At 59.4% G+C, this 17,024-nt stretch overlaps 1 protein-coding gene across 3 annotated transcripts in view, besides 8 other annotated features; it reads left to right on the top strand.

The window, feature by feature from the left end:
* The window catches only part of NOL4L (nucleolar protein 4 like), a 142,275-nt gene that overhangs the window by 112,751 nt on the left and 12,500 nt on the right, over nucleotides 1-17,024 (top strand). For all 3 annotated transcript variants that reach the window (NM_001256798.2, NM_080616.6, NM_001351680.2), the window contains one exon: nucleotides 16,188-16,465. In NM_001256798.2, the coding sequence (NP_001243727.1) occupies nucleotides 16,188-16,465 (278 nt within the window). The remainder of the gene's footprint in view (nucleotides 1-16,187; nucleotides 16,466-17,024) is intronic.
* Nucleotides 1,972-2,021: a silencer, noted in NCBI's record as "silent region_12787". NCBI's record gives its function as "represses an Ori minimal core promoter by ATAC-STARR-seq in GM12878 lymphoblastoid cells {active_cell/tissue: GM12878}" and the evidence as "EXISTENCE:reporter gene assay evidence [ECO:0000049][PMID:35858748]".
* Nucleotides 2,342-2,391: an enhancer, noted in NCBI's record as "active region_17717". NCBI's record gives its function as "activates an Ori minimal core promoter by ATAC-STARR-seq in GM12878 lymphoblastoid cells {active_cell/tissue: GM12878}" and the evidence as "EXISTENCE:reporter gene assay evidence [ECO:0000049][PMID:35858748]".
* Nucleotides 13,250-14,165: an enhancer, noted in NCBI's record as "H3K4me1 hESC enhancer chr20:31046221-31047136 (GRCh37/hg19 assembly coordinates)". NCBI's record gives its function as "activates a minimal SCP1, AML or CMV promoter by ChIP-STARR-seq in naive H9 embryonic stem cells {active_cell/tissue: H9 hESC(naive)}" and the evidence as "EXISTENCE:reporter gene assay evidence [ECO:0000049][PMID:30033119]".
* Nucleotides 14,166-15,081: an enhancer, noted in NCBI's record as "H3K4me1 hESC enhancer chr20:31045305-31046220 (GRCh37/hg19 assembly coordinates)". NCBI's record gives its function as "activates a minimal SCP1, AML or CMV promoter by ChIP-STARR-seq in naive H9 embryonic stem cells {active_cell/tissue: H9 hESC(naive)}" and the evidence as "EXISTENCE:reporter gene assay evidence [ECO:0000049][PMID:30033119]".
* Nucleotides 14,779-14,928: a silencer, noted in NCBI's record as "silent region_12786". NCBI's record gives its function as "represses an Ori minimal core promoter by ATAC-STARR-seq in GM12878 lymphoblastoid cells {active_cell/tissue: GM12878}" and the evidence as "EXISTENCE:reporter gene assay evidence [ECO:0000049][PMID:35858748]".
* Nucleotides 15,082-15,997: an enhancer, noted in NCBI's record as "H3K27ac-H3K4me1 hESC enhancer chr20:31044389-31045304 (GRCh37/hg19 assembly coordinates)". NCBI's record gives its function as "activates a minimal SCP1, AML or CMV promoter by ChIP-STARR-seq in naive H9 embryonic stem cells {active_cell/tissue: H9 hESC(naive)}" and the evidence as "EXISTENCE:reporter gene assay evidence [ECO:0000049][PMID:30033119]".
* Nucleotides 15,359-15,408: a silencer, noted in NCBI's record as "silent region_12785". NCBI's record gives its function as "represses an Ori minimal core promoter by ATAC-STARR-seq in GM12878 lymphoblastoid cells {active_cell/tissue: GM12878}" and the evidence as "EXISTENCE:reporter gene assay evidence [ECO:0000049][PMID:35858748]".
* Nucleotides 15,419-15,688: a silencer, noted in NCBI's record as "silent region_12784". NCBI's record gives its function as "represses an Ori minimal core promoter by ATAC-STARR-seq in GM12878 lymphoblastoid cells {active_cell/tissue: GM12878}" and the evidence as "EXISTENCE:reporter gene assay evidence [ECO:0000049][PMID:35858748]".

The raw sequence follows: 17,024 nt of genomic DNA, 5'->3' as shown, positions 1-17,024 counted from the left end.
CAGCCCCTCTTGAAGGTGCTCACGGTGCAGAAATGTGAGGTCCAGCTCCCATGAGTGAGTCAAGGGGCTCCCATCAGAGCACTCTCAGGCCCCTGTTATTGACGCAGGACTAGGCAGGGACAGCCCAAGCAGAGGCACCCGCTTTAGCCCTCTGTGTGCTCCACTCCCCGCCCGAGGGTCTCCATTGCAGAAGCCCCCCAACCCCACTGATGCCCAGGTGGGCTTGGTGTGTGGGCTCTGGCCTTCCGTCCTTCGTGGAAGTCTGAGGCCTGCTGTAAGGTCAGTCTTGGTCTCTGCCCTGCCCCTGGGACTCGGTTGCGAACATGGCCCATTGTCGGTACCTGCTGAATGTCTGTTATCCCCGAATGAACAAACGAACAAACATTTACTGAGACCTACCCAAGCACACCATTGCAGAGCAGATGGAGCTCCGCCTCTGATGGGGGATAAGTTGGGTTGTTTGTTTCTGGGGACATCCTTCCCATCTGAGTACCTGGGCCTTTTCTTTTCGCCGGGAGTGTGGGGACTCCCAAGGCTGTGCTGATGACACACCTGTGTTGGTCCGTTTGGTGTTGCTATAAAGGAATACCTGAGGCTGGGTAATTTATAAAGAAAAGAGGTTTATTTGGTTCACAGTTCCACAGGCTGTACAGGCATGGCACTAGCATCTGCTTGGCTTCTGGTGAGGCCTCAGGAAGCTTACAGACATGGCAGAAGGTGAAGGGGGAGCAGGCATGTCTCATGGTGAGAGAGGGAGCAAGAGAGAGGGAGGAGGTACCAGGCTCTTTTAAATAACCAGCTCTCGCATGAACTCATAGTGAGAACTCACTCCATACAGCACCCAGCCACTCATAAGGAATCTGCCCCTCATGACCCAGACACCTCCCACCAGGCCCACCTCCAACCCTGGAGGACACATTTCACCATGAGATTTGGAGGGGACCCAGATCCCAACCATATCAGCACCCCATCCCTGCTGACAAGTGATCCAGCCAGGAGTGATTTCAGGGAGCCAGGCAGTTAGCACAGATCTACAGCTGTGGATTTGTTGGGGCCCTTCTTTAAAGATTTTAACAAAGGCAGATGAAGGCTGAGTGGCAGAGCAAATCCCATGGCGGAGACCACTGGGCCCAAGAGTGAGTTGTGCGGGTGCCAGCTCTCACTCCCCGGGAGCTTGCCTCTGAGCTTCTACCGGGGTGAGTGTCTGCTCTCACTCCCCGGGAGCTTGCCTCTGAGCCTCTACCGGGATGAGTGTCTGCTCTCACTCCCCAGGAGCATGCCTCTGAGCCTCTACCGGGGTGAGTGTCCACTCTCACTCCCCGGGAGCATGCCTCTGAGCCTCTACCGGGGTGAGTGTCTGCTTGTCCTGAAACTGAGCCCAAGAGTGAGTTGTGCGGGTGCCACAGCTTTCACTCCCCGGGAGCTTGCCTCTGAGGTTCTACCGGGGTGAGTGTCTGCTTGTCCTGAAACACAGTTAGGCTTCTGCCCCCAACCCTGCCACTGGCTGCGAGTCTTGGTCTCCCAGACCTCTTTACACCAGTTCCCCACACTCTGAAGTCCTGGGATGCTCCCAGGTCCCTGCGATCACAGCCACTGGTGCTTGGCAGGGAGCACCACTCACAGTGCCCTCATCTCATGGGGAGGAAACTTAGGATCAGGGAGAGACTTGGGGCAACTCAGCCAGAGTTGGGGAGGTGCCAGTGCTTCTCCTCTCTCCCCTTTGGCAGGGGCAGGGGCCATGTGTGAGGGTCCCCAGAAGATGGGCAGGGCAGCTAGGGAACCAAAGAAGGCCCTCTCCACACACTTGGGGCGCTCCCTCCTTGGGGCCCAGGGCCATGCGGGCCAGCTCCTGCCACAGTTTCCTGCCCAGGCACGGGCCAGGTCCCCTAAAGACCCTCGGCCAAGCCCCGGCTGAGGCGTGGGCTTTCTTTTGGGTCTGAACAGGGCTCTGTGCACATCATAGGGTGTGGAGGGAGGATGCCTGAGAGACTTTGTCCAGAGGCACTGTGGTCTGGCGTTGCCTTGGGGCTGAACAGCACATCCGTCTGTACTTACGCCGCCACCTGTGGGATGATCTGTTTGATGCAGTCTCCTCCCCAAGTACCATAAGCACCCTGAGAGCCAGGCCTCCAGCACCCAGCACAGGGCCTGGCACCACGCAGGTGCTGGGGTGCTGTTTGTTGAATGAATGAGTGGATGAAAATGAACGAAGGCATGCACGGAGGCAGGTGAGCCAGTGCGCCTCCTGCAGGCCGGGGCTGGCCCAGGTTCCTGACCCGGCAGGCGGGGCCACTCCTTCCGTTTCCCCTGGATGTGCTTCAGCAGGCCTCTCACTCTGCCCCTTCCTGAGCGGAAAATGTGAGGCCCGTCTGGCCTCCAGAAGGGATGCGTGGGGGCAGGGAGCGGACATTACTCACCTCCTGGGCAGACAGGAAGCCAGCGCCAGGGGAGAGCAGGGGTCTGCTCGCTGGGCCTGCATCCGCCTTCTGCAGGGTGGGCAGTCGGGGGATTGCTGAGCAAGAGTCGTGTGGAGCCCTGGCTGGGGCAGGTCAGGGCCTGGTGTGTGCGCCTCTCAGATGAGGCCGCTCCTCCAACCTGGGCCTCGGGACACACGGGCTCCCGCACTGTGCAGGCCTGAGTCTGGACAAAGGCACTGAGGGCCCTTTGGCTCTTCCAGGTTCTTGGCCACTTTAGTCACACCAGCGTTGGCCTTGTGACACACAGGGGTGATGAGCCCTGTCCCCACCTCCCTGGAGGAGTCTGGGGTTTGGTTGAAGCCAAACAGGCACCAGTGTGGGACCCCTGCAGGCTGTCAGCTTGCTGAGGGCAGGAGCCACATCTTTGTAGAAATGTCCCTTATTTCTCCCCTTATTTCAGAAGTATTACAATTATTGTAGAAAAATAAAGGAGAAGGCCAGGTGCGGTGGCTCACGCCTGTAAGCCCAGCATTTTGGGAGGCTGAGGCGGGTGGATCACCTGAGGTCAGGAGTTTGAGACCAGCCTGACCAACATAGAAAAACCCTGTCTCTACTAAAAATACAAAATTAGCTGGGTGTGGTGGCACATGCCTGTAATCCCAGCTACTCCGGAGGCTGAGGCAGGAGAATTGCTTGAACCCGGGAGGCGGAGGTTACAGTAAGCCGAGACCACACCATTTGCACTCCAGCCTGAGTAACAAGAGCAAAACTCCATCTAAAAAAAAGAAAAAAAAGAAAAAAAAATAGAAAAATAAAGGAGGAAAAAAGAAAATGAAAAATAATGATGTCTGGGGCCCTATTTTTCTCAGACTTTTCTATGTATCTAAGTAACCAGAGCCTCATTTTCTTTTCAATGAGGCAGTATTGGCGCCTTTTTTCTCACATAGTCATTGGCCTCCCTGACACTGATGTGGGCCAGCCACAGTTCAAAGCTTGTCTAGTCAGTCCAGTGACTGGGGTCCCATTCCTGAGCCCGCTGTGTGCCCAGCCTGACCCTGCTGTGTGCCCAGCCTGACCCTGTGAGCCCAGAGCTATACATGTCGCTGTTCCACAGGGCAGGAAACATCGTCTCCGAGGGGAAGTAACTTGCCCAGACCACAGGGACTGGGTCTCTCCAGAGCCAGCGTTTTGGCCACTCCTGTGGAAGGACACTCAAGTCCCTGTTTTTCTTTCTTTCTTTCTTTCTTTTTTTTTTTTTTTTTTTTGAGATGGAGTCCCGCTCTGTTGCCCAGGCTGGAGTGCAAAATGGTGTAATCTCGGCTCACTGCAACCTCCGCCTTCCAGGTTCAAGCAATTGTCCTGCCTCAGCCTCCCGAGTAGCTGGGATTACAGGCGTGCACCACCACGCCTGGCTAATTTTTGTATTTTTAGTAGAGACAGTGTTTCACCATGTTGGTCAGGCTGGTCTGAAACTCCTGACCTCATGATCTGCCCGCCTCGGCCTCCCAAAATGCAGGGATTACAGGCGTGAGCCACCGTGCTTGGCCAAGTCCCTGTTTTTCATTGCTGGAAGTGGCGCTGCAGGGTGCCCCTCAGGGCTGGCCCCATGTGGCCTGAGTCTCCTGTCCTGGGCTTTATCCCCAGGCCCTAGCACTGAATAGGTGCTCAACCAACGGCCACTGAGTCACTCTTGGCAGAGATGGGGAATCAGAGAAAGGGCCTGGGAGGAGGTGGCCTGGGAAGCTGGGCAGAGGCGTGGCAGCAGGGGGCTGGGAAGGGAGGAGGTGCCCGATGCCAGGATTGAGGGTTTCTTGGGTCACCTGTTTCCAAAAGCTCCCTATGACCCCAAGCTCCAACCAGGAGAGAAGGGCAGAGAGGCCACAGCCAGGCCATCTGGGGAGGGTCTGGCATGGAAGGGTTCTGGGAGGATGGAGTGGTCGGGCCCAATATGTGGCATCCTGTAGGCAGGTCCTGGGTGCTGTGCCATGGATCTGGCCGGCCCTTCCCCGAAGTATGGTCTTGAGCTAGCCGATCCCCCAACTCTGGGCCACAGCTTCTCTCTGTGACATGGCCTGGGGGCTGTGGCCCCTCATCCTGGCATGCCCCCAGGAGCTCTTAGTGAGAAGACCAAGGCTTCCTACCTCCTGGCCCCTGCTGCCCTTGGGTGGGGCCCTCCACCACCCAGAAATGCAAACTGGGCAGCAGGGCGGGTCTCTGGGGAGCAGGTGTGTTTCCTGAGTGCCCAGGGCTCGGTATTTACAGCAGCAGTGCTGTTGGCCTCTTCTCCTTGGCCCGGCCCCCTCCCCTGTGTGCCTCCTCCCTGGCCTCCAAGAGGTCTGCAGGGAAGTGTGGGGGCACACAGAGCTCAGATCTTGCTCAGTTCCCTCCTTGCCAGGCAGCCTTGGGCGGGTGCCAACCCCTTGCTGGGCTGGGGGTGATCATCTTGGCCCACCTTGCCAGGCGGTTGAGGACCAGATGTGGACAGCACAGGCCCATTGGGGGCCAGGCTGGGACTGGATGTGGGCGGTCTTCCTCACCTCCCCCAGATTCTCTGAGCCCTGCGCACCACCCCGTTGGTCCAGTCTTGCCTCCTCAGCCAGCCTGGTCTCCCTTGGTCCCCTCTGCCATGGAGGCCTGTGGGACCCTGACTGCAGCTTACCTCACAGCCACCCTCAGCGGCATCCCCACCCCTGCTCTCAGCTCCCAACCACCGCCCGGGTTGTGCTTCTTCGTAAAGGGAGCCGGGCTAGGGGGTCCTTGGTGTCAACCAGACCCAGGCACTCACAGCTTGTCCTGAGTCCCTGTCCCTCCCTCCCCACCCACATGTGCCAGGCCCTGTCCAGGGACCCCAAGTTCCCAAGACCCTGCTTCTCAATCTGGCAAATGCCAGACCCATCCAGGTGCCCACACTGATGGGCAGCTAAGCAGGCAGCGAGGAGTCAGTGCTGCCATCCAAGGAGAAGGTGCCAGGCAGAAGTGTGCTTCTGGCTTCTGGTACTCAGGGTGCCATGGGGTGTCCCCAGCACAGCGTGAAGCCGTTCAAGTGAGGGATCAGGCAGGAAGCCATAAGGCTGATGGGGAAGGAGCTGGTGGGAGTAACGACCAGGCCACCCGGGCTCAGAGACCATTACCCGCATTACCCCTGTGCCGCGGCTCTTTCTAGTGTCCTCCTCAGGTGATGCCCACCCTCCCCTGGGCCCATCCCTGGGTCACAGCAGCCCTCTCCCACCAGGAGGCACAGAACTCCGGCCTGCTGCTGCCTCCCCGTGGACCCAACACTCATGGCCAGACGTCTGCTCTGGTCAGTATTGCATGGCAGGAGGTGTGGCCCCTGCACCAGCCTCCCTGGGCTGGCCTGTGAAAGGCTTCTCTTGCAGTGGGCTTTTAAGCCAAGCCTTCTCCCCAACACCTGCTCATTATGGCTGTGTCCATTGCCCTGACCCTAATTCTCACAGCTGAGGCCAGAAACCAGAGCTGGGCCCCATTCTCTGGGTGCAGGTCCCACCCACCCCCACCCCAGGAGCAAGAGCTGTTTGTTCCTCCTCAAGGCTCCAAATACCCACAACAGATGAGCAGGCGGCGGCCTCCTGGCCTCCCCTCCCCCAGGAGCAGAGAGCTGGGGCCCAAGCCTTCCAGGGATTGGCTGTGGGCCACACTGGCAGTCCCGGGTCACAGGAAAGTGTCCATCATCAGCTGGGCCGCAGGCGGCACAGACAATGCTGGGCTGTGCTGGGCCCCGGCCCGCCAAGGGGTGAGAGACGCTGGGAGACAGCACCGAGAGATCCCTTTATCCAGGAGTGGGCAGGGCCTACACAGCCCTGGCCTTGTCTGGGATGCTGGGGAGGACAAGCTCTGGGGCCTGAGGAGCCGAGAGGTTCACCTACTGAGAAAGTGGGTGAACCAGGCGTGGTGGCTCATGCCCATAATCCCAGCACTTTGGGAGGCTAAGGCAGGCAGATCACTTGAGGTCAGGAGTTTGAGACCAGCCTGGCCAACATGGCAAAACCCCACTTCTACTAAAAATACAAAAATTAGCTGGGCGTGGTGATGGGCACCTGTAATCCCAGCTACTCAGGAAGCTAAGGCAGGAGAATCGCTTGAACCCAGGAGGTGGAGGTTGCAGTGAGCCAAGATCACACCACTGGGCTACAGAGTGACTCCATCTCAAAAAAAAAAAAAAAAAAAGAATGGAGGTGAAGGTGAGCCTGGCCCAGTGGGGCCACGTGGGGATCAGTGCCCTTGCCCTTCGCCACCACCCCTCAGCCCAGGACACATACAGAGCTCCATCCTGCAGGCTCCTGTGTCAGGGACAGGCCCTCCTGAGGCACCTCCACCGGGAGCCTGTTCAAGGGTGACTTTCCCAGGAACCAGGAAGTGACCAGGCCGCGTTGGCGTCATCACTCCGACCTAAGGACTGCAATGCACCGAACCCAGACTGGCTTCCGGGAGGGCTGGAGGAGGGCCTGCAGGGGCTTTGGGGCCAGGGCCCTGCCCCGTGAATCATTCACACATGGTGGCCTGGAGTGGCTCTGTTTGCTCTGAGAACACGGGGAGCAGGCTGTGTGTCTCGGCTCGATCTTTGCACACTGAATTAGTGTTTATTTCTCACCGCCTGTGCTTGGCCTGGAGGACGGGGCCAGGGAGAACACCCACACACAGGCAGTTCATCCTGGGAGCGCTTCCCCGGGGCATCAGTGGCCAGTAGGTGTTGGGGGAGGGGCTCTAGGAAGTGGAGCAGTCTGGTAGCAGGGGTAGGGAATTGTCCCACAGTACAGATGGGCAAATCAAGGCTGGCCTTGGAGGCTCCCAGAATGTCTGAGAGCACTGGGCGGCCTGGGTGGTGCTTTGGGGCCTGTCTGGGCGCCTCCACTCATCCCGGGTGATGGGTCGGTGACTTCCCCCTGGAGCCTCTGGTTCCTCCCTGATGTCTGCTGCAGAGGGTGGTTGTGCAAATCAGGCATGATGAGTTACCCGCCGCCTGACACTCGGGACCTGACGCATAATTGGTGTCCACCTCCCCCTCCACTGAAGGTGGTGTCTGTCTCCAGGGCCCCACCGCTTGAGCCACCTGTCCCAAGGCCTGAACATCATCTGCAGCTTGGACACCTCTCTACGGGCCAGGAACCCCAGGGTCTCTGCAGAGAGAAATGATTTCAGTTTTAGGGGAAGATCTAGGTGTGTGACGTCTAATTCATTAGCCAAGGACGGCTACTGAGCCTTGGAAAAGGCTAGTGCAGACAGGTGTGCAATACACGCTGCGTCTCAGCGGCTCCGTAGGAAAGAAGAAGGTGAAATATCTCAGCTCTGATAACACGGTATCAATTATTTGTTGAAATGGTACTATTTTGGATATATTGGGTTAAATAAAGTAGATTATTAAAATTGATTTCACCTGTTTCTTTATTACTTTTTAAAATGTGGGTACTAGGGCACTCAAATCCCTCATGCGGCTCCCACTCTGTTTCTGTCGGACAGTGCTGCTCCCGACTGTGAGGGCCTAAATTGGCACCTGCCTAAGCAAAGAGTGACCAGAGTTTCAGCAGGAACGCCCACTGCCCGGGCACTGAGGGGCACACGCAGAGGAGGCGCATGCTGTGGGGGTAGAGGAACTGGCGCCCCGGGGCTGCAAATCAGGGGGCAAGTGTGGCACCCAGATGGGGGGCATGGGCTCCCTGCTCCGTGGCTGGGGCCGGGCCAGGCTGTGTGAACCACAGGGACAGAGCTGGGCGCTCAGGAGGGCAGCTGTGCAGGCAGCTGGGGCCTGAGGGCCACGTGGAGAATGCAGGTGCCCCGTGTGGCCCCATCACCCGGATGGTAGGGTCCTAGTGTCCCCCATTTGACCCCTGCACCCCTCCTGCCTTTCTGGAGGAAGAGCTGGGCAGCCTGCCCTGAGCCTGGTGCTCCTTGGAACTACGCATCGTGTAAACACAGCCTGGGCGCTGGCCTTTGTCAAAGCAGGCAGGGGGCCAGTCCTGGGGAGGTGCACGCCTCAAATTCAGAGCAGGGTCAGCACCCCCAGACCACAGCCCATAGCCCTACTGTCCACGCCTCCCTGGCCATGGTGGGCCGTGGCTCCAGCAGTCTCCCACCCCCTCCTCCCCCGTCGCCCTGTTGTGTGTGAATTATTGATGCCCCTCCCATCCCCCGCCTGGCTGCTGCTGTGACAGAGTCTCATGGAGGCGGCACTGCCTCCAGCAGCCACACCTCTGGACACGGAAGGCAGTCTGCACGCAGGGCCTGCTGGCCTCCAGTGGCCGTGTACCTGGCCTGTGGTCCCAGGGATGGTGGGCCTTCCCGTTCTCCGAGCCTAGCCTGGGAGCTGGTGGGAGTCGCCCACCGGGAGAGGGTGCCACTGGCTGTGGGCCCCAGAGCGCGGTGTGGCGATTGGTGGTTCGCACAGAGCTGGGCTTGTGCGGGCTGCGGGGCACTGGCGCCCACATAAGGGCATTGTTTGCTGAGGTAAAAGGGGTTTTTGTCTCCTTCTGGAGACGGGACAGAGGGAGGAACAATTTCCCCCATTCATCACTAATTCCTCCATTTGAATAGCAGCACATTGCCCCATGTTCAAATAGACGGACACGGCAGTCCTTCCCTGCCCGTAGGCATTCTGGGCACAGGTGGTGGGCTCCGGGTCCTGCCCAGATGAAGGAGTCGCCCTTTGCCACAGTGGGGAGGGCCTGGTTTTGTGGAAATGCTGAGAGGGGGTGCATCCCGGGCTGCTTCCCCAAGGCCCCTCAGGACATGTCTCTGCTGCCCACGCAGCCATGGGCTGGGGGCAGGCCCACCCTGCTTTCATCACACTGGGCCCCAGCAGGTTGGCCTCAAGGGTGACCCTCCTGGAGGGGCCTCATGGAAGCAGCAAGATGGGGACCAGGTGGGGACAAGAGGTCACCTGGGCACCCTTAGGTTCCACTTCCAGCTCCAGGTGTGGAGGGTCCATCCAGAACTCCCAGCTTCCCACTGAGCCTCCCAGCTGGAGGCCTGCACCCCGTGAGGCCTGTGTGCTGGGGCTTCGGTGCCCATGGAGCCAGCTGGGTTTCTTCACAGAGTCATAAAGTGCCAGAGCCCAGGAGGGCGTCAGCGGCAACTCCCAGGACTGTAGATAAGAGGAGGCCCAGGAGGTGGCAGTGCCCAAGGTCGCCCAGACTGCAGGACCCTACACCAGCACCATCCCTGCCCGGGCCCCACTGCATTCCATCACAGCAAGGGTTTGTGCGCCTGTCGATGTCTCTTTTAAATCAGTTTTTTTTTTTTTTTTTTTTAAGACAGAGTCTCGCTTTGTCGCCAGGCTGAAGTCCAATGGCGCGATCTTGTCTCACTGCAACCTCCACCTCCCGGGTTCAAGCGATTCTCCTGCCTCAGCCTCCTGAGTAGCTGGGACTACAGGCGTGCACCACCACGCCCAGCTAATTTTTGTATGTTTAGTAGTGATGGGGTTTCACCATGTTGGCCAGGATGATCTCGATCTCTTGACCTCATGATCTGCCTGCCTCTACCTCCCAAAGTGCTGGGATTACAGGCGTGAGCCACTGCGCCTGGCCTAAATCCATTTTTTTTTTAAGGGTTGTGGGAGGAAGAATTCCAATCGGATCAAAACCCAACTGCCCCCAGTCTCTCTTTTCCTTCTTTCCCCAAACAGTGACAGGCGCGTTCTCCTGGCCAGGTGCAGTGAGGGGTGGGTGTGAGGGTTGCAGCCAGCCCCTTCTGTGGGCATGAGCCCTCCTGTGGGCACCACCCCCTCCTGTGGGTACCAGCCTCCTCAGGACTGAGCTGGGCGTCATGGTGAGGTCCCCATGCAGAGCGATCCCAGCCCCCGGGTCCCATCCCTTGGCCTCTGCCAGGGAGAAGACCCTGGACTACTCAGAGACCAAGCCATTGGTGTGAGCCTGCCTCTAGCCGGCCTAACCAATAAGGAAATTATTAGCTCCCTCACCAAAACCTCTAGGGCCTTCCTAGGTGGCAGGCACAGATGGATTTCAGGGGATCATCTGTGCCCCCTATCAGCCCTGCTTTCCCCAGCGTGGGCCTCCCTGCACCACGGGCCCAGCAACCCCAGGTAGAGAGCACCTTCCCAGCCATCGCAGCAGGAGTCCCCGCGTGATGTCCTCGGGCCCAGCTTGGTCACACGCTATTACCAGTTGCTGTGATGGGTTGACTGGCCAGGCCTGGGGCATGCACTCACCCCGGCGAGCCCAGGAAGACTCAGTTGCCCCCACCAGAGGGAGGGGTGTGATCTAGGGGGCAGCAGGAGCCATCCAGGCCCACCCAATACAGCTGCACCAACTCTGGGTCTCTAGGGCTGGGGCCGCTTCTGTGAAGGCTGGGCACAGGCCAGAGACACAATAAACACAGTAGTATTGCAAGGAGAGGATAAGTGCTTGGAAGAAATAGGTAATTTCTTCCAAGCACTTATCCTCTCCTTGCAATACTACTGTGTTAGAGGGGGCTGGGCGCAGTGGCTCACACCTATAATCCCAGCACTTTGGGAGGCTGAGGTGGGTGGATCACGAGGTCAGGAGATCGAGACCATCCTGGCTAACACGGTGAAACCCCATGTCTACTAAAAACATAAAAAATTAGCCAGGCGTGGTGGTGGGCGCCTGTAGTCCCAGCTACTCGGGAAGCCGAGGCAGGAGAATGGCATGAACCCGGGAGGCGGAGCTTGCAGTGAGCCGAGATCACGCCACCGTACTCCATCCTGAGCAACAGAGCAAGACTCCGTCTCAAAAAAAAAAAAAAAAAAAGAAAAGAAAGGTAGAGGGGTCAGTGTGCCAGAGCAGGGTGGGAGCTGGGCTTACCGAGAAGGTGACCTTTACGCAGAGCCCTGGAAGTGAGGGACTGCGCCAAGGGGACACCCGGGACAGAGTGGAGCAGGAAGAGGGAACAGCAAGTACCAAGGCTGGGTCACAGCTGGGGCGGGTGGGTGAGCCATAGGGGCTCGCTGGAAGGGCCTGGTGGGCCCAAAGGAGGGACCTGGCTTCCAGTTGGAGTAAACTCAGCCCTTGCGGCTGCAGCCGGCATCAAATCCACTGCTTGTGGGGCCGAGGGACAGGCTGGACCAACCCCACCCCGAGCAGCACCTCTGCCCCTGTTGGTTCATGAGGCTTCAGCCCTCGCCCCACCGTCCCTGGGATGGCTTCTGCAGAGCCGTGGCCCACAGCCGGTGCCACGATGGAGATCGGGGCAGGTAGGGAGGGCTTCCCTGAGGTGGTGGTGCTCGGGTTAGCACAGAAGGGCGAGCAGGAGTCGCCGAGAGTAGGGGAGACACCATGGCTCAGGGGCCAGAAAGCTGGTGACACCCCTTCAGAGCCCCGTCTCCTCTGGAGCCCTCAGGTTTGATTTGTCGCTGCTGGAGCATGAGCTCCGAGGGTGGCAGTTGCCCCCATCCCCACAGTGGCCCTCTCACTGGGCCCACCTCAGACTGTCACAGGCTGGGCTCCGGGATCCCCAGAAGCCCCCGTTGCAGTCTGGGAGCCTCGTGCGTCGGCAGTGGGTGAGTTATGATGTGAGAAAATGTGGGGTGCAGGGAATTGGGGTTTCCTTTTGAGCTCCTGCCCCATCTCGGGCACCATCCTCACCTTAGAACCGTGTTTTACGGCTGTGGGACCCACTCTGAAAGGAAACGGAGGCTCCAGAAGGTGGAGTAGCCTCTTCCAGCCACTCCGCGGCTCAAACCTGTGGCCTCCCCAGTCGGCAAAACATGGGCCTCAGGTTGCAGGCAGCCCCCAGAGCATGTGGCGCGGGGGCAGCTGTGTGGGGTGGGGGCTGGCATGCCGGGGCTGCCTGAGCGGAGCTGGGGGTAGGCGAGACCTTGGTGTCACTGGGGAAGGCAGGCTTTCGCGATCCATGTTGTCCCTCTGAGTAGGCTCTGTGTGTGCGGCATGAGAAAATGAGATAATGGCAGATAGAGCCTATAAACTAGGGCAAAGGGGCTGTTTTTGGTCTGGGTTCTGTGTGTGTGGTAAAATGTGTGACATAAAATTTGCCATTTTTAAGTGTACACTCCAGAAGCACTGTTATTTCCACAGCTTGTTCATCCCCCAACAGAAACTCTGCACCCTTTAAGTACTAACTGCCCATTCCCAGCCCGTGGAGCCTCACTGTACCTTCTGTCTCTGTGAATTTGCCTGTTCCAGATGCTGCGTAGAAGTGGAATCACTGAGTATCCTTGTCCGTCTGGCCTGTTTCCCACAGCCTCGTGTTTTTATCATCCACATTGCAGCGCTTATCCAAACTTCATTCATTTTCATGGCTGGATACTATTCCATCGTATGAATAGACCACATTTGTGTACCCATTTACTTGTCGAAGTTTTTAAAAATATAAATAATGGGTTGGGCGCAGTGGCTCACGTCTGTCATCCCAGCACTTTGAGAGGCCAAAGTGGGAGGATGGTTTGAGCCTTGGGAGTTTGAGACCAGCCTGGGCAATATAGCGAGACCTGTTCTCTACAAAAAAAGAAAACTTTAAAAATTAGCCGAGGCTGGGCACGGTGGCCCATGCCTGTAATCCCAGCACTTTGGGAGGCTGAGGCGGGCGGATCGCCTGAGGTCATGAATTCGAGACCAGCCTGGCCAACATAGTGAAACCGTGTCTCCACTAAAAATACACAAAATTAGCTGAATATGGTGGCGGGCGCCTGTAATCCCAGCAACTTGGGAGGCTGAGGCAGGAGAATCGCTTGAACCTGGGAGGTGGAGGTTGCAGTAAGCCAAGATCGCCCCATTGCACTCCAGCCTGGGCAGGAAGAGTGAAACTCCATCTCAAAAAAAAAAAAAAAAAAAATTAGCCAAGCGTCGTGGTGTGCGCTGCTGGGGAGATCGCTTCAGCCCAGGAGGCAGCAGTTGCAGTGAGCCCTAATGGCACCGCTGTACTCTAGCCTGGGCAACAGAGCAAGACCCTAAAAAAAAAAAAAAAAAGTAAACCATGTAACTGAGTCGCCAATATTTTAAAATCTGTTTACATAATGGTGCAGATTTCCAGTTTCTTCTAACAGCTTGGAACACTTGGCCATACGAGGTCCTAGCACCTGGTGCCTTACGGGTCTTACCCGCCCAACCACTTCCCTGGCCAGACCAGGGTGGCATCTGAGTGCAGTTAGGGGAGGTTCTGCCCCGGCACTAGTGCCTGTCGATCCCCAGCCAGGCAGCCGGGGGCACAGCCCCGAGGCAAAGGTCTTGGTAGCTGGAGAGTCTGGGCCCCCGTGCCGGGCATCTGACCTGGTAGAGGCTCCAGGAGCACCCTGAGCAGCGTGTCTCTGGAGCTCACAGTGGCGGAGGGCAAGTCCATCTTCTCGGGAAAACCTGATTGGGAGGTGGGTGGTGGGATGATGGGATGTCACTTCTGGGCCTATGTAGGGTGTGGCACTGCAGCCAGCCTTGGGCCTGGTGCCTGTGATGAAGGCAGTGACCACTTGCTCACTGTGTGCCAGGCACGATGCCCACTGAGGAGCAGCCCCTCATTCCAGAGGAGGAATCTAAGGCCCTCCAAGGTCAAGCAAGTGGCCTGTGAGGGTGGTGTCGGTATGTGAAGTCGCACCTGCAAGGTGGGTGAAGGATGGGCCCCCTGCAGCTCATGGGAGCGTGGGTAACCAGCCAGTATGGGTGTCATCCCTGTCCCCCGTGGAGGCTCCTGGACCTCAGGTGCAGGGGCTTCTCTGGTGACAGGGTCTGTCCTGGTGGGGCAGATGGCCCTCACGATGACCCTGGGCCAGGGGAAGGGAGCATGAGGATCCCTGGCAGGGCCGGGCAGCAAGCTGGGGTTGGAGGCGTGAGTGCCTCCTTCCTAGGGACAGTGGAGAAAAGTGCCAGCCTGAAGTGGCAGTGTGGAACCAGACCTTGAAGGCTGGCTGCCATCTGCTCAGCTGGAGGTGTCATGGCAGGCAGATTGCAGAGCTCCAGCACAGGATAGTGAGGCTGGGCTGGGGGACTGCAGAGGTCACAGGACTGAGAGTGCCAGTGGCTGTGGGCCGGACTCTTACTCAGCTACAGGAAAGCATGGGACAGGGGAGTGAGGATTAGGCCTGGCTCTCACAGGTGGGATGTGGGTGGCCTGGGCGCTGGAGAGCAGCCAGTGGGAGCTGCATGAGGAGCTGGTCTGGTTCCCGGGTGGAGGAAAGTGGGCACCCCCATTCTCACAATTCACCTTCCCTGTTACCCACGAGGCTGAGTAAGGCACATCTGTCCCCCAGGAGGTCTGGCACCTTGGTTGCAGTCATTACTTTGTTTCCAGGCCAGCACTCAGTAGGTGCTCAGTAAAAATGCTGGGGAATGTGTTGGCTCCAGACTGGGCGCGAGTAGGCTGTGGGGTCCCGGGGACAGCCAGCGCGGGCCGGGACTCCGAGGATGCAGCCAGTGAGGGGCAGCTATGGGCGGGCTTTGAGCAGAGCCCGGAGCTGCCCTGCGGGAGGATGGAGGGAGTGGTGGAGCTAGGCTGCCCGAAGGAGGACAGGACGCCTGGCCCAGGGGACCTGCTGCAGCCGAGGGGGAGGGGTGCACTGCGCCGCCGTGGCCTCCCATCCCCCTCTGCCCGGCCTGGCTGCATGATGGGCAGCCTGGACCCGCCCCCGGGCAGCCGGGAGGCCAGCAATTGGTTGGGGCGCTAGAGCCGCTCGGTCGCCATGGGGACGCTCTGGAGGTGCGCGTGCCCAGTGCCCAGCACCGGGGACTAAATCTTCATAATCTGCCGGCTGGGAGGGTGGGGGTGGGGTCCGGCGTGACCCTGGCCTGGGGGAAGGGGCGGCAGGGCCCGCTGTGACCACCCCTCCCCCACCCACTCTGGGTGCAGGTGTGGAGCCGCCAGGGTCACCCGTACCTCCCCGGGACCCTCGCGGGTGCTCACCTGACAGTGACCCCGGGAGTTCCCGTGCAGCTTCAGCCTCTGCCGTCTCAGCTGAGCAAGCAGGAGGCCGGGGCTGGGGCTGGGGCTGGGTGGGCAGAGAGGCCTGGAATGTATCTGGAACTGTCTGGTCCCCTGGTTAAAGTTTCCTCCCCCGCGCCCGCAGGCTGGCGGTGCCGCGCTCTTTGCGGCAGGGGGCGCCCTCGCAGTGCTTTGCCGGGGCTGCCCACCCTGAGACGCCGGGCAGGCCCACTCGGGGGCCGCGTGCAGACCCCAGACCTTGCAGCCCCGGCTTTGCACGTCCCAGGCCGTGGGGCCTGCACGGAGCGCAGATTCGGGGGCCACCGTGCCTGTGCCTAGGCTGCCAGGGCTGGGCTTGCTTACAGGAGGGAGTGAATGGCTGGAGGTCACAGTAGAGCCATCCTTCCTGCTTCCGGCAGAGGAAGGAGACATTTGAGGGCCCACCGTGGGCAGGGGCTCTGAGAGCTCGAAGCTGCAAGGCAGTGCCCGGCAGCAGGAGCAGGGTGGGTGGGAGGTGCGGTCCTGGGAGCTGGGGAGAAGGGAGAGCCTGGCCGGGCTTCGAGGGCCTCCAGGGCCCTCTGACAGGCCACTCACTCCCAAACCCTTGGAGCTCGGTCTCCCTTAAGCCTGGACATAACGCTTGCGAGTTTGGGGTGCAGGAAGACCCTCCATGCCCTGCACAGCCCTGCCTGGCCACACCCCTCCTGATGGCCCCTCTGTTCTGGCAGAGGGGACCCTGTGGCTGCCTCAGCTGAGGCTGTGGGCTGGGGCAAATTGCCTCTGAGGTGGGGTAGCAGCACTCACCCCAACCCAGGGACACTCATGAGGAGGACACAGGGTGGGATACTCCGAGGTGGCTGCAGTGGCCACAGTGCCTTGGGTGGGGCCTCACACCCAGGCCTCTCATTCCAGATGACTCCTCCTCTGAGAGTGGCAGCGGCAATGGCTCCTCCACCCTGAACCCATCCACGTCGAGCAGCACGCAGGGCGACCCTGCCTTCCCCGAGATGAATGGCAACGGCGCCGTGGCCCCCATGGACTTCACCACGGCCGCCGAGGATCAGCCCATCAACCTGTGTGACAAGCTCCCGCCGGCCACGGCACTTGGCACAGCCTCCTACCCCTCGGATGGCTGCGGTGCCGACGGGCTGCGGAGCCGCGTCAAATACGGGGTGAAGACCACCCCCGAGGTGTGTGGGGCTGGGGGCTGAGTCCATTTCTTTCTGTAAAGGGCTGTCGCGAGGCGAGAATGAAATTGTATACGCCCAGAGCTTAGCTGGAGCCAGCCCATGTGTGTGACACCGAGCCAGGGTGGTGGCTGTGGCTGGTATGTGTTCGGTTCCTGGTGAAGCTCTGGAATGGGAGATGGCTTGGAGTGTGCCCCCAAGCCAGGCCCCCTTCTCCGAGCCTGTGAAGTGGAGCTGACGGCCCCTGCCTTGGTAGAGGTGGTAGGTGGATATGCATCCCCACAACCCATCCCCCTCCCCCAGAACAGCATCTGCTGGGGATAACAGCAAGTGGCCACTTTCGGCACAGCCAGGTACGAGGCCTCCCACTGCCTGGTTTGTCTGCGTGCCTGTCCCCATTTTATAGGTCGTGCGAAAAAAGGGCGAGGGCCCAGGGATGTGGGCAGTGGAACTCCTCCTTTGACTAGGCTGATGGACGGTGGTAAGGGTGGGCACAGTACGTACCCCTACCAGTGGGCATCCCCCCTGCTTCCTGGGGCCTCCCCCACACTTCCACAAGCTG

Source organism: Homo sapiens, chromosome 20, assembly GCF_000001405.40.
Source record: "Homo sapiens chromosome 20, GRCh38.p14 Primary Assembly".
Classification (NCBI taxonomy): domain Eukaryota; kingdom Metazoa; phylum Chordata; class Mammalia; order Primates; family Hominidae; genus Homo; species Homo sapiens.
Note: the sequence above shows the minus strand (reverse complement) of the source record. Positions and strands in the feature narration are given on the sequence as shown.